General features: G+C 35.8%; 1 long non-coding RNA gene across 2 annotated transcripts in view, besides 1 other annotated feature; it reads right to left on the bottom strand.

The window, feature by feature from the left end:
* Positions 1 to 1,884: 1,884 nt before the first annotated feature.
* LOC107986263 (uncharacterized) overlaps positions 1,885 to 20,934 on the bottom strand; it is a 50,786-nt gene continuing 31,736 nt past the window's right edge. The window contains exons 3-5 of one of the 2 annotated variants that reach the window (XR_001741604.2): positions 18,562 to 18,669; positions 6,054 to 6,211; positions 1,885 to 1,982 (exon numbers count right to left, since the gene is read on the bottom strand). This is a non-coding gene — a long non-coding RNA (uncharacterized LOC107986263). Of the gene's footprint in view, positions 1,983 to 6,053; positions 6,212 to 14,547; positions 14,760 to 18,561; positions 18,670 to 20,934 lie in introns of those variants that run through there. The other variant, XR_002959783.1, reaches the window with a different exon arrangement.
* Positions 14,156 to 14,205: an enhancer, noted in NCBI's record as "active region_21361". NCBI's record gives its function as "activates an Ori minimal core promoter by ATAC-STARR-seq in GM12878 lymphoblastoid cells {active_cell/tissue: GM12878}" and the evidence as "EXISTENCE:reporter gene assay evidence [ECO:0000049][PMID:35858748]".

The raw sequence follows: 20,934 nt of genomic DNA on the forward strand, positions 1-20,934 counted from the left end.
CAGAATCATTGGCTCCCATACAAGTTACAAGACAATTAGAAAAATAAACTAAATGGATTTTGGATACATCCATGAGCAGAAACATTATTGTCAGAAGTTCTGATCTGGCTCTTAAATTAATGAATCTTGTATTTTTAACATGACTTTTCTTCATAATATACTTATACATGCTCCATTACCCTCACCCCTCAGTGTAGGGGGAATATTTTCAAGAAGCACATTTTGGAAAATAATGACTCGTTTGTAACTTGTTTTATTTGTAGGAAGAAAGAGGGAGGTGGATAGTTAATCTGAATCAACACTTTGCTTTATGCTTGACGTGGAACCATTAGAACCTTGAAACGTAGATGAATTTTTCACCTTTCCAAACTGCTCAGTCTCTCAGTACATACTGTCAATTTTGTTATATAAAAAACTTAGCAATGTATATAATTACTGGGCAAAGCTATTATTTAATATGAAGAAAAAATTGTCAGCTAACCTAAGGACAAAAAATATATAGCTTCCAATCCCAGATTTATTACCTGGAATCACAATCAAAATTTATTTCACTGCATTAGCAAGACTTTGTACTCCTGGAAGTAAAAGGCTACAGTGAATATTTCTTCTGGCCAAGAGTCTTGTTCCCATTTTTTACTCCTGCTGGTTTTGTTCCTCTTATGTAACTGGGGAAGTTGGCTATGATAAACAGAGCCAGGTCACAATATCAGCATATGGTGGGCTCTTAAGACATATTTGTTAGAATGAATGTGTTTACTTATTGCCAAAGCCAGATGAAATCCTGGATTTAGTTATTAGCTAACACTGTAGCCTCATGTCAATTACTTTTATTCTCTGAATCAGAGTTTTATCACCAAGCATAATAATAGCTACACAGGTTTGATGTGAATATTGTGTAAATATAATAAATATAAAGTAATATTTATAAGATGGATGATCTGAGTCTGAAGCATATTAATTATTCCCTTGATGTTACATATCCTATCCTACCCCCTCCTATTTTAAAAAGAGAATTAAATAATGTTCTATTGCACTTCAGGTAAATAATCTCATTTAAGAAGCTCTCAAGAGCCAAAGATAAATTTCCACAAAAGTAAAAATGGGGGAGGTTTGTGATGTCTGCTATGGACTAAATATTTGTGCTATGGTTTGAATATTTATCCCCTCCAAAACTCATGTTGAAATGTAATTGCTGTTGTGACAGTATTAATGGTAAGTCCTTTGAGAGGTGTTAGGCCATGAGGGCTAAGCCCTCATGGGTGGGATGAATGCCATTATAAAATGGTGAGTTTGGCCCCCTTTTTCCTCTTTGCCCTTCCACCACATGACGATGAAGCAGCAAGGCCTTTGCTAGTTGCTGGCACCTTGATCTTGAACTTCCTTGCCTCCACAATTGAGAGAAAATAAGTTTCTGTTCATTATTAATTACCTGGTGTCAGGTATATTATTAAAACAGCAAAACTGGACTAAGACAATCTGTGTCCCCCAAAATTCATAGGTTGAAATCCTCACCCATAATGTAATGGAATTAGGGGATGGGAGCTTTGAGGGGATTAGGTCATGAGAAAAGAACCCTCATAAACGGGATTAGTGCCTTTAGAAAAGAGACCCTAGAGAGCGCCCATGCCGCTGTCCATGTGAGTACACATCAAAAAGACAGTCATCTAGGAACCAGGAAATGGGCTTTCACTAGACCTCAAATCTGCCAGCATCTTGATCTTGGACTTTGCAGCCTCCAGAACTTCAAGAAACAAATTTCTGCTGTTTATAAGCCACTCAGTCTATGGTGTTTGTTATAGCAGCCCAAATAGACTAAGACAATGTCTAACATCTATGGATAATTCAGAAAAGATAGAATTATTTTTATCTTTCTCTTACCTGGGTAATTGCTTTCTTTAAACCTTTTTACTTTCAGAAGTTTTCATGCTTTTCAAAGACTTTTTTTTTCCATAGAATATCTTACTTGTTCTTTATGGCAAAACCTGAAGGATAGAGCAGTTATCAGTCTTGTTCTGCAAATTTTAAAATACAATCAAGATAACACTTACCTGTATTTAAACAGCTTTTGTCTCATTCCCCAAAACCTGTTCCTTCACGGTGTTTACCATCTTAATTAATTATAATTATCTAATTAATCAACATTACAGCCAAAAAGGTATCTTTTCCATCACACTCAATACTTCTGCCAGTGCCATTGCCTCTACTTCTAAGATTTATTCTGAATCTATCAGTATTTCACCATTGATTAGGGGGTTTCACCCCCACTTATCATTGCTATGATTGCATATGTTGTCTAGTATTGTTGTGAAGATAACATGAAAATGAAAAAAAAATTAACTAAAAAGTTAAGAATGAACATAAATTATTATTGGAATTCTAGGAGCCCAATAAAAAGTACCCCTTTTCTGTACTTGAATCCTTAATCACTAGAAGGAGATAGACATGGAATTAGGCAGATAGAGATAAAATATCACCTTTATCACTTCCCTGCATGCAGTTCAATGCTTGCATTTGCTTATTAATAAAACTTATGACCCTTTTATGTATCAATTAATGATTTGATTTTGTGAAATCTCTTATTTTATCCATATACCTGGATCTTCCACATCTTCCTATTAGATTATTCCTTAAGTCATGCACAACCAGTTAGAGTTATGATGCTTTATGTTAGTTGCAGGGTTGGAGGCAAAATTAGCTGCCAAACCAAGGTGATGCCTACCAGGTACAGGCTTCCTTTGAGGCTTTGCCTTTTCCTAGACATAATCACGCAGCATAGCATCTTCTCCCTGCCAAAGAAGGCTGCCTCTTTCTCCTGACTGCTTTGTAGATGACTTAACATAAGGCCTGTTAGAGAGCTCTTCAGTTTTACACCTTTATAACCTCTTACACATAATGGCTAATCTCTGCCTCATTGGCTTCTGCAAAGTGTGGCTACAGTTTTCTACTTCAAGGTAGCTTTAGACAGTCCAAGACCAATATGGACTGCTCAATAAGGCAGAGCTGTCCACATTTGCTAAGGTCTTTGCAAGCCTTGTTTGCTAAGGATCAAGGGGTCTGCATTTTCTATGAGCTAAGCTGGCTAAAAATAGCCCTACCTATATCAATAAAGCCACTTGCCTGTGAACAAAGCTGCCATAAACCGTAATGATCCACCAAGGACAAAATTTCACTTAGGCCACCCTCACTAAACCCTTAGGAATAAAGCTACCAGCCAATTTCTTTCTGTCTCTTTGGTAACCTACGTTTCTTGAATTTTCTTAAGGTTCACAGACAGTGTACCCAAATATTAGAGTTTGGGGGAGCTTAATCATAATATATTGGCCTTAGTTTAGAACAAAATGAAATCCAGAAAACAAAGAAATGTATAGCAAGAGTATTTGCTTTACTGATATTAAGATAAATTAAGAACCTGGTTATAAATCTTTAGGCAAGTCGGCTAGCTTGTTAATACTTTACTCCTGAATTGAGCAGATATATCTGCTTTGTCACAGAGGAGTACAAAATTTCTGCTTTCCTATCAACAAATAATACTATGATGATTCTGAACTTAATGAAAAACCAAGTCCTGAGCACTTAAATGATCTGAGAAACTAATGTGCATTAATTGCATATTAACATCAAAGAGCAAAAAAGATGCTCTGATAAATATGTAGCTGGTATAATTTTTTCAATCCACTTATTTTGATGATGATGATGATAATTAGACTATGCTGGTTACTTAAGAGAATACATAGAATTATTGGGGGAACCAGCCCCCAATGTTTCAACATAGGTTCTTTCTATTTTCCCTAAGTGTCGGCTGGTCTGAGAAATAAAGAGAAAGAGTACAAAGAGAGAAATTTTATAGCTGGGACTCCGGGACTGTCATCACATATTGGTAGGACCATGATGGCAACCCCGAGCTGCAAAACCAGAAAGTTTTTATTAGGGATTTTAAAAGGGGTGGGTGTGTGTGAACAGGGAGTAGGTCACAAGGATCACATGCTTCAAAGGGCAATAAAGATCACAAGGCAAAGGCAAAATTAGAATTACTGATGAGGGTCTATGTCCCACTGTGCACACATTGTCTTGATAAACATCTTAACAGGAATCAGGGTTCGAGAGCAGACAATGGGTCTGACTAGAATTTACCAGGTTGGAATTTCCCAATCCTAGTAAGCCTGAGGGTACCGCAGGAGATGAGGTGTATTTCAGTCCTTATCTCAATCGCATAAGACAGACACTCCCAGAGCGGCCATCTATAGACCTACCCCCAGGAATTTATTACTTCCCCAGGGTTATTCCTTGCTGGGAAAATAATTCAGTGATATTTCTCCTACTCACACATCCATCTATAGGCTTTCTGCTAGAAGAAAAATATGGCTCTATTCTGCCTGACCCCACAGGCAGCCAGACCTTATGGTTATCTTCCCTTGTTCCCTGAAAATCACTGTTATTCTGTTCTTTTTCAGGGTGCACTGATTTCATATTGTGCAAACACATGTTTTACAATCCATTTGTACAACAGTGGTCCTGAGGTGACGTACATTCTCAGCTTACGAAGATATCAGGATTAAGAGATTAAAGTAAAGACAGGCATAAGAAATTATAAGAGTATTGATTGGGGAAGTGATAAATGTCCATGAAATCTTCACAATTTATGTTCAGAGATTGCAGTAAAGACAGGCATAAGAAATTATGAAACTATTAATTTTGGGAACTGATAAATGTCCATGAAATCTTCACAATTTATGGTCTGCCTCAGCTCCAGCTGGTCCCTCTGTTTGGGGTCCCTGACTTCCCACAACATAGAATCTTTTTTAGAAGCAGCTATTTATTTTTTAATACTTGGTGCTCTCCTTTGGACTAATATGTCTAAGTGTGTGGTAGTAGGGAGCATAGCTGCATATCAGAATTGGGGGAAGAGGAGGACTCTTTTCAGACTGTTACTCACTTAGAGGTTCTAATATCCACCTTCACTCTCTCCAGTTGAGAATCTCATTTTAAATGAACTACAGAGGTAGAATCTTAGAGATCAGTATATTACGTTCCTCGGGTCACTGGGTCTGAAAGATTTGAAGACCATTGTTTTGGAGTCATTTTAATTCCCTATTGCCATGCTCATTTATGGCTCCACCAGGTCCTTCATTGACCTGGCATTGAAAACATTACCTCAGCATCTTGTAACTACCCTCTAGCTACCTAAGGCCTGTTGTCTTTTGTGAATCTTCTCTCCCATTATGCTCCTTTTCTTTCTCCATCCCACATGGAAATACTCTACTTAACCTATTAGAAAATGTGCCTGATATGTAAACCTTATCACAGAGCAAAGCTTTCAAGTTGCCATTCTTTAATACACTCATTTAATCCTAAAATAGTTAAGGACCATCTCCATATGCCAGGCCCTGCAAGATAGCTAAGATTACCATGATGACGAAGACCCAGAAATAGCCATGAAAGAATGTAGGGTTTAGGCAGAGCTTATTTCCCGAAATGCCATTCTGAAAGCTTTACTACTCAACATGTAGGTCCCATGACATTGTTTTAGAAATGCTGAATCTTAGGCTCCACTCCAAACCTATTCAATCAGATTCCGAACTTAAACAAGAAACACAGGTATGTGGGTATACACATTAAACTTTGAGAATTATTGCCTTAAAATGCTAATTCTATGATATGTTCTACTATTAAAAAATCTTCTTTGTTTCATTCAATTTCAAAAGTTCTGGGTTAAAGCCAGTTTTAAAAGGTTTCTGTATTGAATAGCTTTACAGAGGTTTTAATGTAATCATTTTTCATTTTAAGCTACAAGAAGCACACATGTTCAAAGAAGTGCTTTGTGTTTCCCAACACTTTGACCAGGAAACCCCCTTTAATCCAGAATACTTAAAATAACTAGGACTTTAGAGAATGCCTCTTGGAAAAATTGGAGTCACATAATTTTTTTCTGCTTTTTTCTTAATTTTCACATTTCTGAGAAAGTTTTCATTTTATTATTTTTATACTCTATTATAACACACACCCTTATGTCCATTTTTTCTAGTATTAGAAACATTTCTGGCATTTAAACTTACCCTCTTCTGTCTCAGTCCATATAGCTTGAGTGGGATTGACCTGTCCCCAAGGCATGAGTGAGCTTGTGACTCAGGACTGTGCAATCAATCACTGTAGTTTTGGTTCAAGGACAGGCATATCAACTGTATTGGGCCAGTTAAGTTTGCTGTAGGATTTTCTGGGGGAAAGTGGAGAAACAGAATACATTAGATGACTATTGTCTCGAGGTCATAATAATATCGTAAGCACTTGGATATAGCTAGGCTGCAGATTGCTCTCTTGACTTCCATCCTTTTGAAAGTTATTTTGACTTAGGCCTCTGTTGTTTTTAACAGTAAGAGCCCTTTTTTAATGCATATAGTTCATTTAATGTACTACTAAGACAAATATTGGACCCTTTTAAATGACTTGTACTGTAGATGGCAGGTAGATAAATCATGCAAGGCAGGTCACCTTGTTAGCCAATGTTCCTCTGATGTCCATTGTAGATGCTGGGGTTAGGATCCACTCTAGGGACATGGATTTTTTACTTGTTGCCACTGGCAGTGGTCATTAGTGCTCTCATAAAAAGCATCTGGTGTCCCTAAAAACCTATCTAGAAGTAGTTGGCAAAACTGGCTGCTTCTCAGATTCATCTGGGAATCTTGTTAAACATTTAGACACTGGGACTACAAGAGAGCTCTTGGGGTAGAAGCTAGGAAGCTGTGTCTGTAACAGCCTCTCATCTGGTGATTCCTAGCACAGTAAGTCTGGCATTTGTCCATGAACGATGCTAGAAAACCCCTTCCCTTAGTGATCTTTGGCTCCTCCCTGGCTTTGTGTGCTCTGTTGCTGAATCAGTTTTTCTCCAATGTAGCCACACATAGAGCCCTCCACCTACAGAGGAACAAATCTTCCAGAGACAATGAACAGCAAGAATTTATATTAAATCCCCCTGGGTATTTGTTTTTGTTTTTGTTTTTCGTTTGTTTGTTTTGTTTTGTTTTCCTGTTTCAGAGGGATCAGCTACATTTACAATCTCAATATGTTTTGTCAGAATGTCAAACGTTTAAGTACATCGTTATGCATTATCTCATCAATCCTCATGTAGAGTTGCCCAATATTATATGTAATGTTCAGTTAAATTTGGATTTCAGATAAACTGTGCATTTGTTTTAGTATGTGTCCGAAATATTCCATGGGACATCCTCATATTATAAATGTGTTTGTCTCTTTTTATCTGAAAATCAAATTTAACTGGATATAACGCATTTGTATTTGTTAAATCTGGGAACCCTAATACCTCGTAACAACCTATGAGGAAGTTAGAGCAGGTGTTAGACTTTTCTAATTATACAGACAAGAAAACTGAAATTCTAAAAGTCCGTAAGTATTAGTGAGCTGTGGAGCAGAAACCAGAGCTAGATTTTCTCACCTCTGATCCAGGACTCTTATGTTTCACCCATCTGGCTTGAGCAATAGTTTAAAAGGATGATTGTGTGCTCCTAAGTACTTCACTTAGCTACTCCATTTTAGCATATATTAGGGGCATTGGGGTTATAAGGATGATTTAGTCTGTGTTCTGCCTTTGAGTTGATGATTAGATTATGACAAGTACTTTGAAAGAGGAAAACTATATTTCTAATATATACATATATATATTCTAATATATTTATAATATCAAAGCCGGGCACAGTGGCTCATGCCTGTAATCACAGCACTTTGGGAGGCTGAGGCAGGTGGGTCACCTGAGGTGAGGAGTTTGAGATTAGCCTGACCAACATGGTGAAACCCTGTCTCTACTAAAAATACAAAAATTAGCCAGGTGTGGTGGCACTTGCCTGTAATCCCAGCTACTCAGGAGACTGAGGCAGGAGAATTGCTTGAATCTGGAAGGCGGAGGCAGTGGACTAAGATTGCGCCACTGCACTCCAGCTTAGGTGACAGACTGAGATTCTGTCTCAAAATAAATAAATAAACCAATAAAACCTACGTTTCTATAAACCAGTAGATTCCCAGAAAATTGGTGGAAAGTACATTTATTTAAATATTGGCTAAGTAGAAACCTTTATTGATTTGAAAACAGTCCAGTGAGCATAGCATAATCCATAAAATGAATAAGAGCTAAGTATAAATCTTTAGTTGATTAGGAACTAGGAGGCTGTCTTCCTTGATTGAGTTGCAGAGCTAAGAATTAATATCATGGACTAGGGGTTCAAAACTTGCACATGAAAGTTAAATTACTTGGGCTCAAACCTGGTTCTATCTATCCTAATTCTGTTACCTTAGACAAATTGCTTAACTTCTGCTACTCAGTTTCTCGCCTGTAAAATGGGACTAATTAGCATAACCATTTTATAGGGTTGTTAGGAAGACTAATTAATTTAATGCATGTGGAGTGTTTTACAATGGTGTTTGGTAAGTGATAAATAAACTTCTACTATTATTATTTTGTTCGTATAGCTGCTGCTTTACACATGTACTGCAATTATTCCAGATGTTCCCTTGCTCCATATTACCTCTCTTACTGATTCCATTAACTGCTACAATGAGTCACATAACTTCAAACAGACGTTTGCATCGAATTTTCCATTTATGAATAGACTGCAGAGGCTATACATGGTGGAGGCCTAGACTGGTGCATAAGATGTCAAATTCTACCCCAAATATTAAGAAGCAGCATAAGTACTCTGCTTATGCTCACGGGCAATGTGGTTTCCTATGTCCATCTAGTCTTTCAAGCTAGAGATAGTTCAGGGAAGAAATTGCTTTGAAAACATAAATTCGTCATACATTTAAGCTTTGTGTCTTATCTTCATTTAGTTCGTCAGTGGAAGAATCCTGAAAATTTGAAACAATAAGATATACAGCCAACTTGGAGTCCATGAATCTGAGCATTTCAGACTAAGGTTTTGGTCCTTTGAACACGTACTCCAAAAACAAGTCTGGCTATCATAGCCAGCTTCTGCGATGTAGTGTATTCCCCACATCTGCCAAGAGTTTGAGCATGCGAAGGGTTCTGTGCCCTTTTTTCAGCTGATTGCTCTACCCCATTATTGCTGACTTTAAAATATTCAAACTACTAATGTAATATGTAGCACCTGCAAATACTGTAAACTATTAGCAGGATGGTAATGAAAATTGACTGCAAATGTAATGACAACAGGTGAAATTATTCATAGCCTGCTCATGGAGCAAACCTAAGAAATAAACTCAATGGGCATAAATGGAATAAGTTCATGACAAATAGGAAAGTATCCCAAACTGCTAAAGTAATAAAAGCAAATATAATAAATCTTTCCTACAAATATAATAAGGTCCCTAACTGTAAATGTAATAAAACCTATCAACAGCTGCAATATGTTTCGAACATATTATATAGCTTTACAAAGAATTATACCCCCTGCTGGTACAGCCTCAACAATGTCATGCTTTGTCTTTTTCCAGTGAGTCCAAATCTAGCACACTGCATGTTGCCCTGTGTATATTAAGTATGACAGAGTGTTACTATAACCAGGTTTGAACTGAAAATGAAATGCTCAATCCAGATGTGCTCTTTGGCCATTCTGCAAGCAGAGCCAAAGGCTGCGGATCTCCCACCAGGGGCTGAAATGCTGCCAGGAAAGCTAAGCATGGGAGGTGAGGAATTGATGAATTGCTGGATAACCTTTGTGTAGCTTGGATATGATGTCTGCATCAGGAAAGTGAGCAGTACATATGACTAAGGGAATGGGGACAGAGGGATTGGAGTGGGAAAAGTGTGGTATGAGGACCTTCTGTAAAGATCATGTATATGCCAGGCACAGTGCCACGTATTTCGTATCTTTCCATCCTTCCTCCCTTTTTTCCTTCTTTCTGCAATTCAGCAAATATCTGTTGAATGCTTGCCAGTTTATAGCTACTAATTATATTCTAGGAATAAAGGAGAAAATAATAAAGTAATCATTACGGAACCCATGAGACCCTTAAACCCTATAGGAGAATCAGAAAGTAAGCAGGAAATTCAAATACAATGCAATTAAAGCCATTACTCGGCAAGAGCTGAGAGTCTGGGACAGAAATCTGAGGAATATCAACATTTAAGAGATGGGCAGAGTTATATCAAATTTCTCTCTTCACATCTTCTCTCAGATTCAGCCAGTTCCCTTTTTTATGTTATGTATTAAATATAATACTAAGAACCAAGCAGAAATAGGTTACCAGGAACAGCAACGGGACATCATGGCTATAAACCCTAAATCTTGCTAATCTACAAACCCTATAGCTTCTTCTAAACTAAATGTACATTTTCTTCTAAAGTATTTTATTACAGGTTTCTCAAATATATATATATATAAAACAATCAACATGTGAGTTTATGACAACCATTGACATAATTCCACCTCTCACACCCGCCTTTTGCAGCATGCCATAAAATAACCAATATTAACACCTGGTTTGTATGGTACCAGGTCTTATTTCTTCATAGAAGCTTAAATATACGCACATAAAGTTTTTGCAGTTTTTCATATACATATTACTTTGCATCTTGCTTTACTCAGTAATATGGATTAGCTATTAGATAAATAAATACACAGCTAACACATTAATTTAGCTGCATACCAAAGGCTAGAATAAACATTATAGGCTGCATACTATTACATGCACTGATTTTTCTCAATTAACCAACATTTGGGTTCTTAGGTTTTTTTTTTTCCTTATTCTTTATTGTTTGTTTACTTTTTTTTGCAGGACCAAAAAAGCAAAAAACAAGAAACAAAAACACACAAACCAGACAACTAAAACAATAATAACAAAAATCTGCAATAGGTATTTTTGTACATATTGCTTTAAAAACATGAGATTCAGTCCAGGCGTGGTGGCTTACTCCTGTAATCCCAGCACTTAAGTCTGGAGGTGGGAAGATCACGAGGTCAGGAGTTTGAAACCAGCCTGACCAACATGGTGAAACCCTGTCTCTACTAAAAATACAAAAATTAGCCTGGCATGGGGGGGCAATAGTGAAAAGTTAAAGTGAAAATTTAAAGACTATGGAACTTTTATTTTGCAATAAGCAGTGGCAGATTACTTTTCAAAATTCAGGAGCAATTCACATTCTTATCAGAGATCATTATCTAGATACTAGCTCCAGGCTATATTTTACTTTACATCTTTTGGAAAGAGAGCTAAAACATGTTTTATCATTGTCTTCCAATTTCCACCTGTAACTGAGTTGCCATCTTTGTCTTTATTGGCTATTTGAATTTTTTATTCTACGAATTATCTGTTCATATAATTTTCTTAATTTATATATATATTTTTTTCATCATGGAACAGTCTTATGTATATTTGAAATAGTAATTATCTTACTATATGGGTTGCAAATATTTTATTTTGTTCTTTGACTTTGTTAATGGAATTCTTTTTATGTCTATTTTCATTTGTGACATCTGGGTTTCCTCTCACTTTGGTGGGCCTACTCTTTCCCAAAAGAGCTATGCCAGAGCTCCTAAATTGTTCTAATGTATATATTTTTTAAAATTATTTTAAATATATGTGAAAAGTTATAAAATATACTTGCATATTACTATTTATTATTGGCATACTATTTTATATATATTTGTACACGTTATAATTATTTATATATGAGACAGTTAACCTATACATTAAAATTTTCTGTAAGAATTTTTTGTATGTGGTATGTGCTTTGTTTTCTTATAAGTTTCTAAACACTTATACTGGCTGTAAAATGAAGTACCATTTTGCTAACTAATTAAATTATAACTTCTCAAATATTCAATCATATTTTCTTTTGGATCAGTTTTGAAGTAATTATTCTAATCAATATGACTATACCTATGCTTTTGCCATACCATTTCTATTACAATAGCTTTAATGTAAGTTTGGTACTTGCTAAGGCAAATTTCCCTCCAGTATTCCTTTTTTTTTTCTTTTGGCCACAATCAAATTTTATTTTTCCATGAACTTTTATATCAATATATCCAGTTTTAAAATAACTTTGTATTCTAATTTGATTTATAATATACTTATCTTGTAAATATGGAAGGATTTACATTTTTGTAAATTATAATCTTATTAAAACACATCGTTGCTCCTCTATTTGTTCAGATTTTAGATTATATATTTCCATCAATGATTGTTGTTTTCTTCATCAGATTTTTCTCCATTTTTTATTTTAACTGGACAACAGTGGAAATACTATTATACTGAAGTCTTTATCAGTCTCTAATTTTAATGGTTCATCTTTTCTTTGTGTGTGTGTGTTTTTCTGTATGTATTGTTTTGTTTTAGTCAAATTATTTTGATGATTCTAGTTATAAAAATATATCATCTGTTAAGAGAAAAATTTCTTGTCCAATGATCATGTAGATTTATATACATATTTCATTCTTGACTTATTGTATTAACTAGCATTTTCAAACCATATAAAATTATGTTTTGCTCCTAATTTTAATGGAAATGATATTACATTTAATTCTTTAGAATGATTTTTCCTGTTTGTTTGAATAGTATTATGTCCACTATATTCCTTAGAATTTTTTAATAAAAAATGCCTGAATTGTACCAAATGTACTTTTAATACATTGCTATATTAATTTGTATTTTTCTTTTAAATATATTTATTTGATATATCATATGCAGTTATTATTTCGGTATTTGAATAATGTGGCTCGATTTCACTTATACTATACAGTCATTTTGTAATATGGGATTTAAATTCTAATTTTAAATTTAAAATTGTACATTATCATTACAGTGATCAGCGCAGCTTTTTAAATCTTTTTTATCTTGATAAATTTGGATATTAAAGTTTCACTTGTTTCTAAAAATAAAATGGGGGCTTTCAATCTTTTGTGATCTATAAAATTCTTTCACAGCACTGGATTACCTGTTATTTAAAGATGATATAAAAATTATCTATAAAGATATCTAAGGTAATTTATTTTTAAATGGCAAAATATTTCATTCATACCACTAATTTTTTGTAGTTTATGTCTGTTTAACTTCTCTACTTTTTTAGGATCAATTTTGATAATTTGTACGTTGGTAAGTAATCATTCCTTTTTTTTCCAAATTTTCCAATTTGTTGCCCTAGTTTTGCACACAATATTTGCACATAAGTATTTTAAACCTAAAAATATAATATGTCTCCTTTCCGATTTGTCATAATATGTAGTTTTGTTTTCTCTTTTGTTTCTTTAATTAAAATTTCATCAGTTTTGTGAGCCTTTTTAAAAAATCAAATCACAGGGTTTTAAAAAATCATATCTATAAATTATTTTTGTTTTCCATATTTCAATAACTCATGTTTTTATAGGTTGCTATCCTTTGATTTTCAAGAACTGTAGACAATAGCTAAATTTTGCAAGGATGGTAAATTAGTAATGACCAAAATTTATTCACAAATATTGTAGCTTCTCCTAATTCAAATATATATACCAGTAAATTTTAGTCTAGTTGCTATGATTATGTATTCATTATTTTATATTTATTGTGCCTTTATTGTTACTTTTAGTTATTTTTCAGTTATACGTGTGTTAACCTCTTTGTTTTCATATATGGACAGTAATATATAAATTGGGTTGATTTTCCAGATTCTAGACATTTATATCCTCCCCTCTTCTTGCAATTACTTATTTGTGAATTAAAACTGCTCTCAATTAGCAGGAATAATATATAGTACATAAATAAACAATATTGTCTAAATCTTTCTTCTCTGTTTTGAATTATTTCCTTGAACTATATCACAGATATGGTTGTAACAGACAAATAGATCTTCAGGTGTTCCCCATAAACTCCACTTTCTATTTTTCACAGCCTTGTTCAGTTTCCTCCCTTTACATGTAGTGCCGAAACTAGCCCAGTTGTACCATAGAAGTGCTGTCTACTGTTTTTCGGATAAACATAGAAACTGACTCTCCTGGTCTTAAAGCTTGAAACTTAAATTTGTCTCATCTGAGTTCCTTCCCCAGGAAACCGGCCTTCAGGCCTCCCAGGTGGTATTAGGGAACTGAAACTCACCAGATCGCTGCATCCAGACAATGAGATACCAGGCTCCTCACTCATCATGACTACCTAAGCAACCACTGGCTTCCTGCTGACCAGCTCCTCTTCCTTACCCCTCCCTAATTCCTGTGTTCCTACACATAGTTAACTTCTCCCCTGCTATATGAACCCCTAAACTTAGCCAGTTGACGAGACAGATTTGAGACTGATCTGTTCTCCTTAACCAAAGCACCTGAAGAAAGCTTTCTTCCCCAGCAATACTCATTGTCTCAGTGATTGGCTTTCTGTGCAGTGAGCAGCAGGACCTAGACTGAAACCCTGGCATTTAGGCAGCAGTGGTGGCCTGTGACTTTAAACAGCAGAATATGGCAAAAGTGATGGAATGTATGTGATTACGTGTATATGATTACGTTTACATAAAATTGTAGTGCCTGTCTTACCAGAGTATCTCCCTGCTGGCTTTGAGGGAGCAAGTGGCTATGTTGGGAAGCCCTGTGTGGCAAGGGATAGTGGATGGTATCTGGGAAGTGAGGGTGGTCTCCACAGCCGACAACCAACAAGAAACAAATGCCCCCAGTGTTACTACTGCAAAAAACTGAAGTCTACAAACAACTCAAATGAAGGTGGAAGTGAATCATTTCCGTTCGAACCTGTGATATGACTTCATTCCTGGCTGACACCTTGATTGCAGCCTGTGCATCCCTTAGAGAATCTAGCTAAGTCATGCCCAGACTCCTGACCTACAAAACGTGATACAAGAAATATGTGTCATTATAAGCTGCTAAGTATTTAGAAGTACTGTCATGTATCAATAAAAATACAGGAGTATTATCAGGTCATATGGTAGCATCTCTCCAATACAGTAAGACATTTTAAAACTTATCTCCAGAAAGATTGTCAGCATTAGGTAAAATAAAAATGTTGGAGCTATCAAAATGTATCTATTTCAATCGCGCCTTTTCATGTTAAGTAATCATTTCAAATTTTAATTTTTAAAATAAAATTTTATTTTAAAATTTAATTTGCATATATGTACATAAATATATATTTGCATATATATATGCAGTCTTTCCTTAGTATCTGTGGGGAATTGGTTCTAGAATTCCCTGCAGATACAAAAACATCCATGAATGTTTAAGTCAATTATATTAAATGGTGTAGTATTGACATATAACCTATGTACATCCTCCTGTATACTTTAAATCATCTCCAGATTACTTATAATACTTAATATAATGTAAATGCTGTGTAAATCATTGTTATATTGTATTAAGGAAAAATAACAAGGAAACAGTTTGTACATGATTAGTTCAGACATATATATCCATTTAAAAACATTTTTTGATATGCAATTTTTTGAATTCACCCATGCAGAAACCATGGATACAGAGGGTACATGTATATATATTCAAACATGTAGTTGCTCATTAATGAGGCTAAAAAATTGTCAAGGTTTTATTTGCTATTTGTTTTATCACTGGTGTGAACTGTCAGCTCCCTTCCTTTGTCTCCTGGCTAAGTTTGAGAATTAAATTAATAGAATTTTTAAAAGCAGTTCTGAAATATTTTGGAGTGCAAATGTTTGTCACAGTAGTCAAAAATTTTTCCTTCACTTTATTTAGGCAATTTCTATATTATGAAAATATCTTCTTTGCTTTTAATTGCCTCTCTGGATATCCCCATCAAATATGGAAATCAAATATTTAATGTAAAATGGCATTTTTTGAGCACCCATTATATGCCAGACAGTTTGTGCATGACACATGGTCCTTGAGTGGTGACATGTCCATGAATCTCCAGCATTGTACGCACTGACTAGGATATACTATTGTGTCCGGAATTTATTCCTTCTGGTGGGTTCTTTGTCTCGCTGACTTCAAGAATGAAGCCGCAGACCCTCATGTTGAGTGTTATAGTTCTTAAAGATGGTGTGTTCCTTCAGATATTCAGATGTGCCCGGACTTTCTTCCTTCCAGTGGGTTCATGGCTTCAGAAGTGAAGCCGCAGACCTTTGCAGTGAGTGTTACAGCTCATAAAGGTAGTGTGGACCCAAAGAGTGAGCAACAGCAAGATTTATTGTGAAGAGCGAAAGAACAAAGCTTCCACAGTGTGGAAAGGGACCCAAGCAGGTTGCTGCTGCTGGCTTGGGTGGCCAGCTTTTATTCCCTTATTTGGGAATAATTTATTCCCACCCATGTCCTGCTGATTGGTCCATTTTACAGAGTGCTGATTGGTCCATTTTACAGAGTGCTGATTGGTGCATTTATAATCATTTAGCTAGACACAGAGTGCTGATTAGTGCATTTTTACAGAGTGCTGATTGGCGCATTTACAATCCTTTAGCTAGACAGGAAAGTTCTCCATGTCCCCACTCAATCCAGGAAGTCCAGCTGGCTTCACCTCTCACTATTTGTTCAATAAATCATTATTAAATGCAAAAAGCAATATCATCAATGTCTCTAATCATTATTAGATACAAAAAGCAATATTAGATACCAAAATCATATCTAACTGAGTGATTAATAAGTGTAGAAGAGAAGAACCAACTTGAAAGTGAATGAAGAGAACTCATGTAGAAACTGCTAAGTTCATGGTCTACCAACATGTTCTTTGCTTGGAAGGCTTGCCTTACACCACATCGCCACGTATTGTTTTATATTAAAGTCTTAAAAGCACTTTCATTTGATCCTTTTCAAATCTCAGTGAACTTGGTATACAGGTATATTTATCTTGGTATACAGGTATAAACTCAAAAGTCAGAGAGTTAAAATAACTTGTTCTATGACATAGATGTATCATGTCAGAATAAGAGCAAGAACCCAAATTTCTTGCTATGAATCCATTGCTCTTCCCGTTATTCACAAGCAATCTGAAACTGCTTATTTTAATGTGTTTTCCTGTGGAATGAAGTCTCTTGTACTGGTGTGTTACTGGTTATCTATATTCCAAGTATTATGTTCTGTCTCCCCAGCATGATCATGAGTTATATTAGGGTAGGCACTTTGTCCTATACCTTTCTTCTAGTTAATATGGAATTTTGTAGATCCTCAATAAATAGCTATTGAAGATTAGATTAAATGGCATTATATCTGCAATCCATTTGTCCACACGCTCTCATCTTTGAATATCTCAACTCCCTCATTCACCTTCAGGCATAGGCATTACACAGCTAAATCTGGTGTTAGGTTATGCTAATGATGTGGAACATGAAAAGTACACTCTGCAGTCTCCAAATGACAGGACAGAAAAGAATGGGTTATGGTTTGATTTATACAGTGCCCTTAGCTAGACCACACATGCTATCTTTCTAAGCACCTAGATTATAAAGCACAGGCGTGGAAAATTCAGAGACAGCCATACATCAGTGGGGATGACTATACTCCCCTACCGGACCAGTTAAAGGAAAATATATCTGTGTATTATATTACCTTTTAGAGTAACCATGATAACTCTGTGGAAAGTTACATTTCTTATATGATCTTTGGTTAAATATCACATTTCAATGTCTTCATAGTCATTCTTACAACATTGTAAAAATGAATCCTCATTTTTTTTTGGACAATACATCTTTGTGAAAGAAACTAGCATAGGGTTTTGGAGCCTTCTCAGTGCTGGGGAATAAATAAATATACTCCAAGGATCAAGGAAGATACCTTTACCTTTCATCATTTTCTACCCCAACTGTGTTTCAGCAACATTATACATTATAGTCTTTTAAACCTTATAACCAGCCTTTGCTAATTATGCCTCTTTTCTTTGGAATATTTTCTCTAGGGTATTTCTTTCTTATACTTAAAGTCTCACTATAGGATTTTAATCCCCTTGTAAGGCTTTCCAGCCCTCCTCTCTCCTCCTAGTATATTTTCTGTGTATATCTTTAGCATGTCTTGTGTTAAAATTATCTCTTCATGTCTCTGTTTTTTCCACTAGATATGATCTTTTTGGAGGCTGTGGTAGTACCATGTTCATCATTATATCCAAAGCAGTTAGTACATAACTTACCACAACTGCCAACAATTCCTGAATTTAAAGGGGATAGTTAATTATTTAATAAAAGCTTGCCATAGCAGTTGTGAAGACTAAATGGGAAAATGCAGATAAATAAATAAATGTTACTGGTGATAAAGCTAAATGTACAATTAGCAGATGGAATAGAGAACATTTGGTGATTCCTTTAATATTGTAAAGAAGAGGGAGGAGTCAAGTTTAACTTCATACTTTCTGATCTGGATAAATAATAATGTGTGATTCCACTGCCCAAGGTGAGGCGCCTAGATGGAGCTATACATGTGCCGTGCAGCTGAGGAGTGATGCCTGTGTGACATCTGAGAAAGTACCGGGTTTAGATGGAAATGTGTCATTATCAGAGTTCAGTAATGTGATTTGCATTCACTTCTCATTCTGCCTGAAAAGTCTTTCCTCCCACTCTTCATTTTGGTAATTGCTGCCTGTTTTCAAAATTCGATCTGGGTCCCCATCCTCTGGGGAGCCTTGCCTAACTTGCGAATTAGATTCAAGTTCTCTCCTGCGAACATATCTTACCTCTCTCTCTGGCATAGGACTCATCATATCACACTGTCTCGGAGGAGATTCTCAACACTTATTCATTTATTTTTCAATAAAGACGTATGGAATCAATAAAACTGATCTCTATAAAAAGAAAATAAATTGTTTAGTTCCACCACACCAAAAATTAGCCTTCACTGTAAAAATAGACAAGAAACAATATACGCCAACAACCCAGAAAGCGCAATCTTTATTAAGGCCAGATGAATTTTCTTTTCTTTCTCAAATCAAGGCCTGCTACAGCAAACATTAGAGAAGATATCATTTTACTTTTAATTTGTATTCCCAATTTCAGAATTACAAGAGTTAAATCTTCTTCAGATGATGGTAAACTGAATTTGTTCTCCATTGATTTTTTTTTAAATAAGGATTCCTGCTTGGGGGTTTCATTCAGTTGGTTGGAAGGAAATCCAGGACTCCAAAATCATGTAAAGCTTCTAACATTAAGAAAAATGTTGGCCTTCACTTGAGGAAGCAACCCTTGTAGAAAGAAAATGTCGAAAATAAATCTCTTTAAAGTGACACTCAGTAAAAGGTATTGCCCAGTCTGGACATGAAAATTTCAGTCACTTTCTCAGGTCTACTGTCTGGTTTCAACACCTTTCAATAAGAGGCTAGGAGACTTTGGGAAGAAAAATAAACTACTTATGAGAATTGGACAGTCATTTAAACCATATACATTTTACCATCCAGCTACATAAAGGTTTTTGGATGTACTAAGTGTAAGTAACACATTATAGGGATTTAAGGTAAACGCCCTTCTTTTTTTAAAAAAAAAGTTCAGTAAATATTTCTGGGTAATTGACTGCTCCATAATGCTTTAGATTTATTTTCCTTTATTTTAGTTTTATGTTTCCCACTGAGGGTGATTCTAACATTTACACTCCATACTTACGTAGCAGTGATAAGAATCCTATAATACATATCATATAATTCAAATATATTGCATATTGCAGAGCCTAGCCCAAAGTAGATATTCAACAAATATTCTTTCCTACACATTTCTAAGGCCCCTTTGATACAGAAGTGACTACTTTGTGAATGCGATAAAGTACTAATTTAGTTTTATTAAGCATGTTTTCACACAGTATTTTTTCTTCCATTTTAGTACCACTATAGAGTGTAATTGAGAACAGTTAAGCTGTAACCATCCTGGAGATCTATATATCTGCCAGTTATCGATCCAGCCTTATAAAAAGGTGCAGAAAGAGAGCCTAAATTGTGCTGAGCAAGTGGATTTTTTTTTAGACACAATCGCATTTCTTTGACGAGGGCCTCTGGTACAGTAATTACTTTTCTTCAAAGGAACTCCTTAGCCCATCACAATGGCAACAGACCTAATAAAGCCAAATGCATCCCCGAAGTTATTGGAGCTGATCTTCTAGGCGATAGAAGCTATTTCCTTTAGTGTGAAAAGGAACACATCTCTGGCCTTTACTTCCTTTTTATAAAATTCAAATGGAGTTGCATTTTGCTACCAAACCCTGCATGCTCTGTCTCCTCTGCATATTTTTAAGTGTACTTACAAGTTATTCAATTTTCAAGTAAATTACCCATTGGATTTTAATTTGTCATCATTGCCATTTAGGGGGCTAAAAATGTCTTAGACTACCTCACCAACTGGATAAGATTGCAGACAAGAGGTACGGGAATCTTTCCACCACGTTACTAGTGGAGGCAGTGTTGCAACTAGGAACTCCAAAATGCCCATATCTCTGTGTAGGGCCCTGGGCTCCACCTGCTATGGAGGCTAATGCTAGGAAAGGAACTTGGCCTACTTGAGGTAAAAGTTTGAAGTGTTTTTCAGGCTTGTCAAGGCCAAAACTAGAGTGAAGTCAAGTGAAGCAACTAAGTAAGTTTCAGTATTTAAAAAGGCTTTCCTCCCCAGGTCACAAAAGTGCCTCACTTAGCTTACCATTGTCCTCACCAACTTGTCAAGCTTCTTTGTGTGTGATTAAGACAATCAACAGTTGGTCATTTCAATCCAAAGTTTATCATAATGATATGGACAGGAGACAGAGAAACACTGGGTAGAAGATGGTGGTTCCCTGGCAAAAGTCCTACCCTCAAGCCTGGAGACCCATGGCCCCAAGTGGGAATAGGCATTTCTGTTTTTGCGCCCAAAAAGTTACCTTTTGGCCGGCCATGCCCCCTTATCCTGTATCCATATAAACCCCGAACCCCAGGCTTCAGGAGCAGATGAGCAGACAAGGAGACAAAGAGACAAGCAGATGAAGGTCAGCATGGTGGTGCAGAGAAAGAGAAGAAGAGGAACATCTGAACACAGAGAGGAGTCTGGCTGCGGGTGGGTGGAGAGGGGTTTGGCCCGGGGAAGATAATCTTGCCACT

This window comes from Homo sapiens, chromosome 4 (genome assembly GCF_000001405.40).
Source record: "Homo sapiens chromosome 4, GRCh38.p14 Primary Assembly".
Classification (NCBI taxonomy): Eukaryota; Metazoa; Chordata; class Mammalia; order Primates; family Hominidae; genus Homo; species Homo sapiens.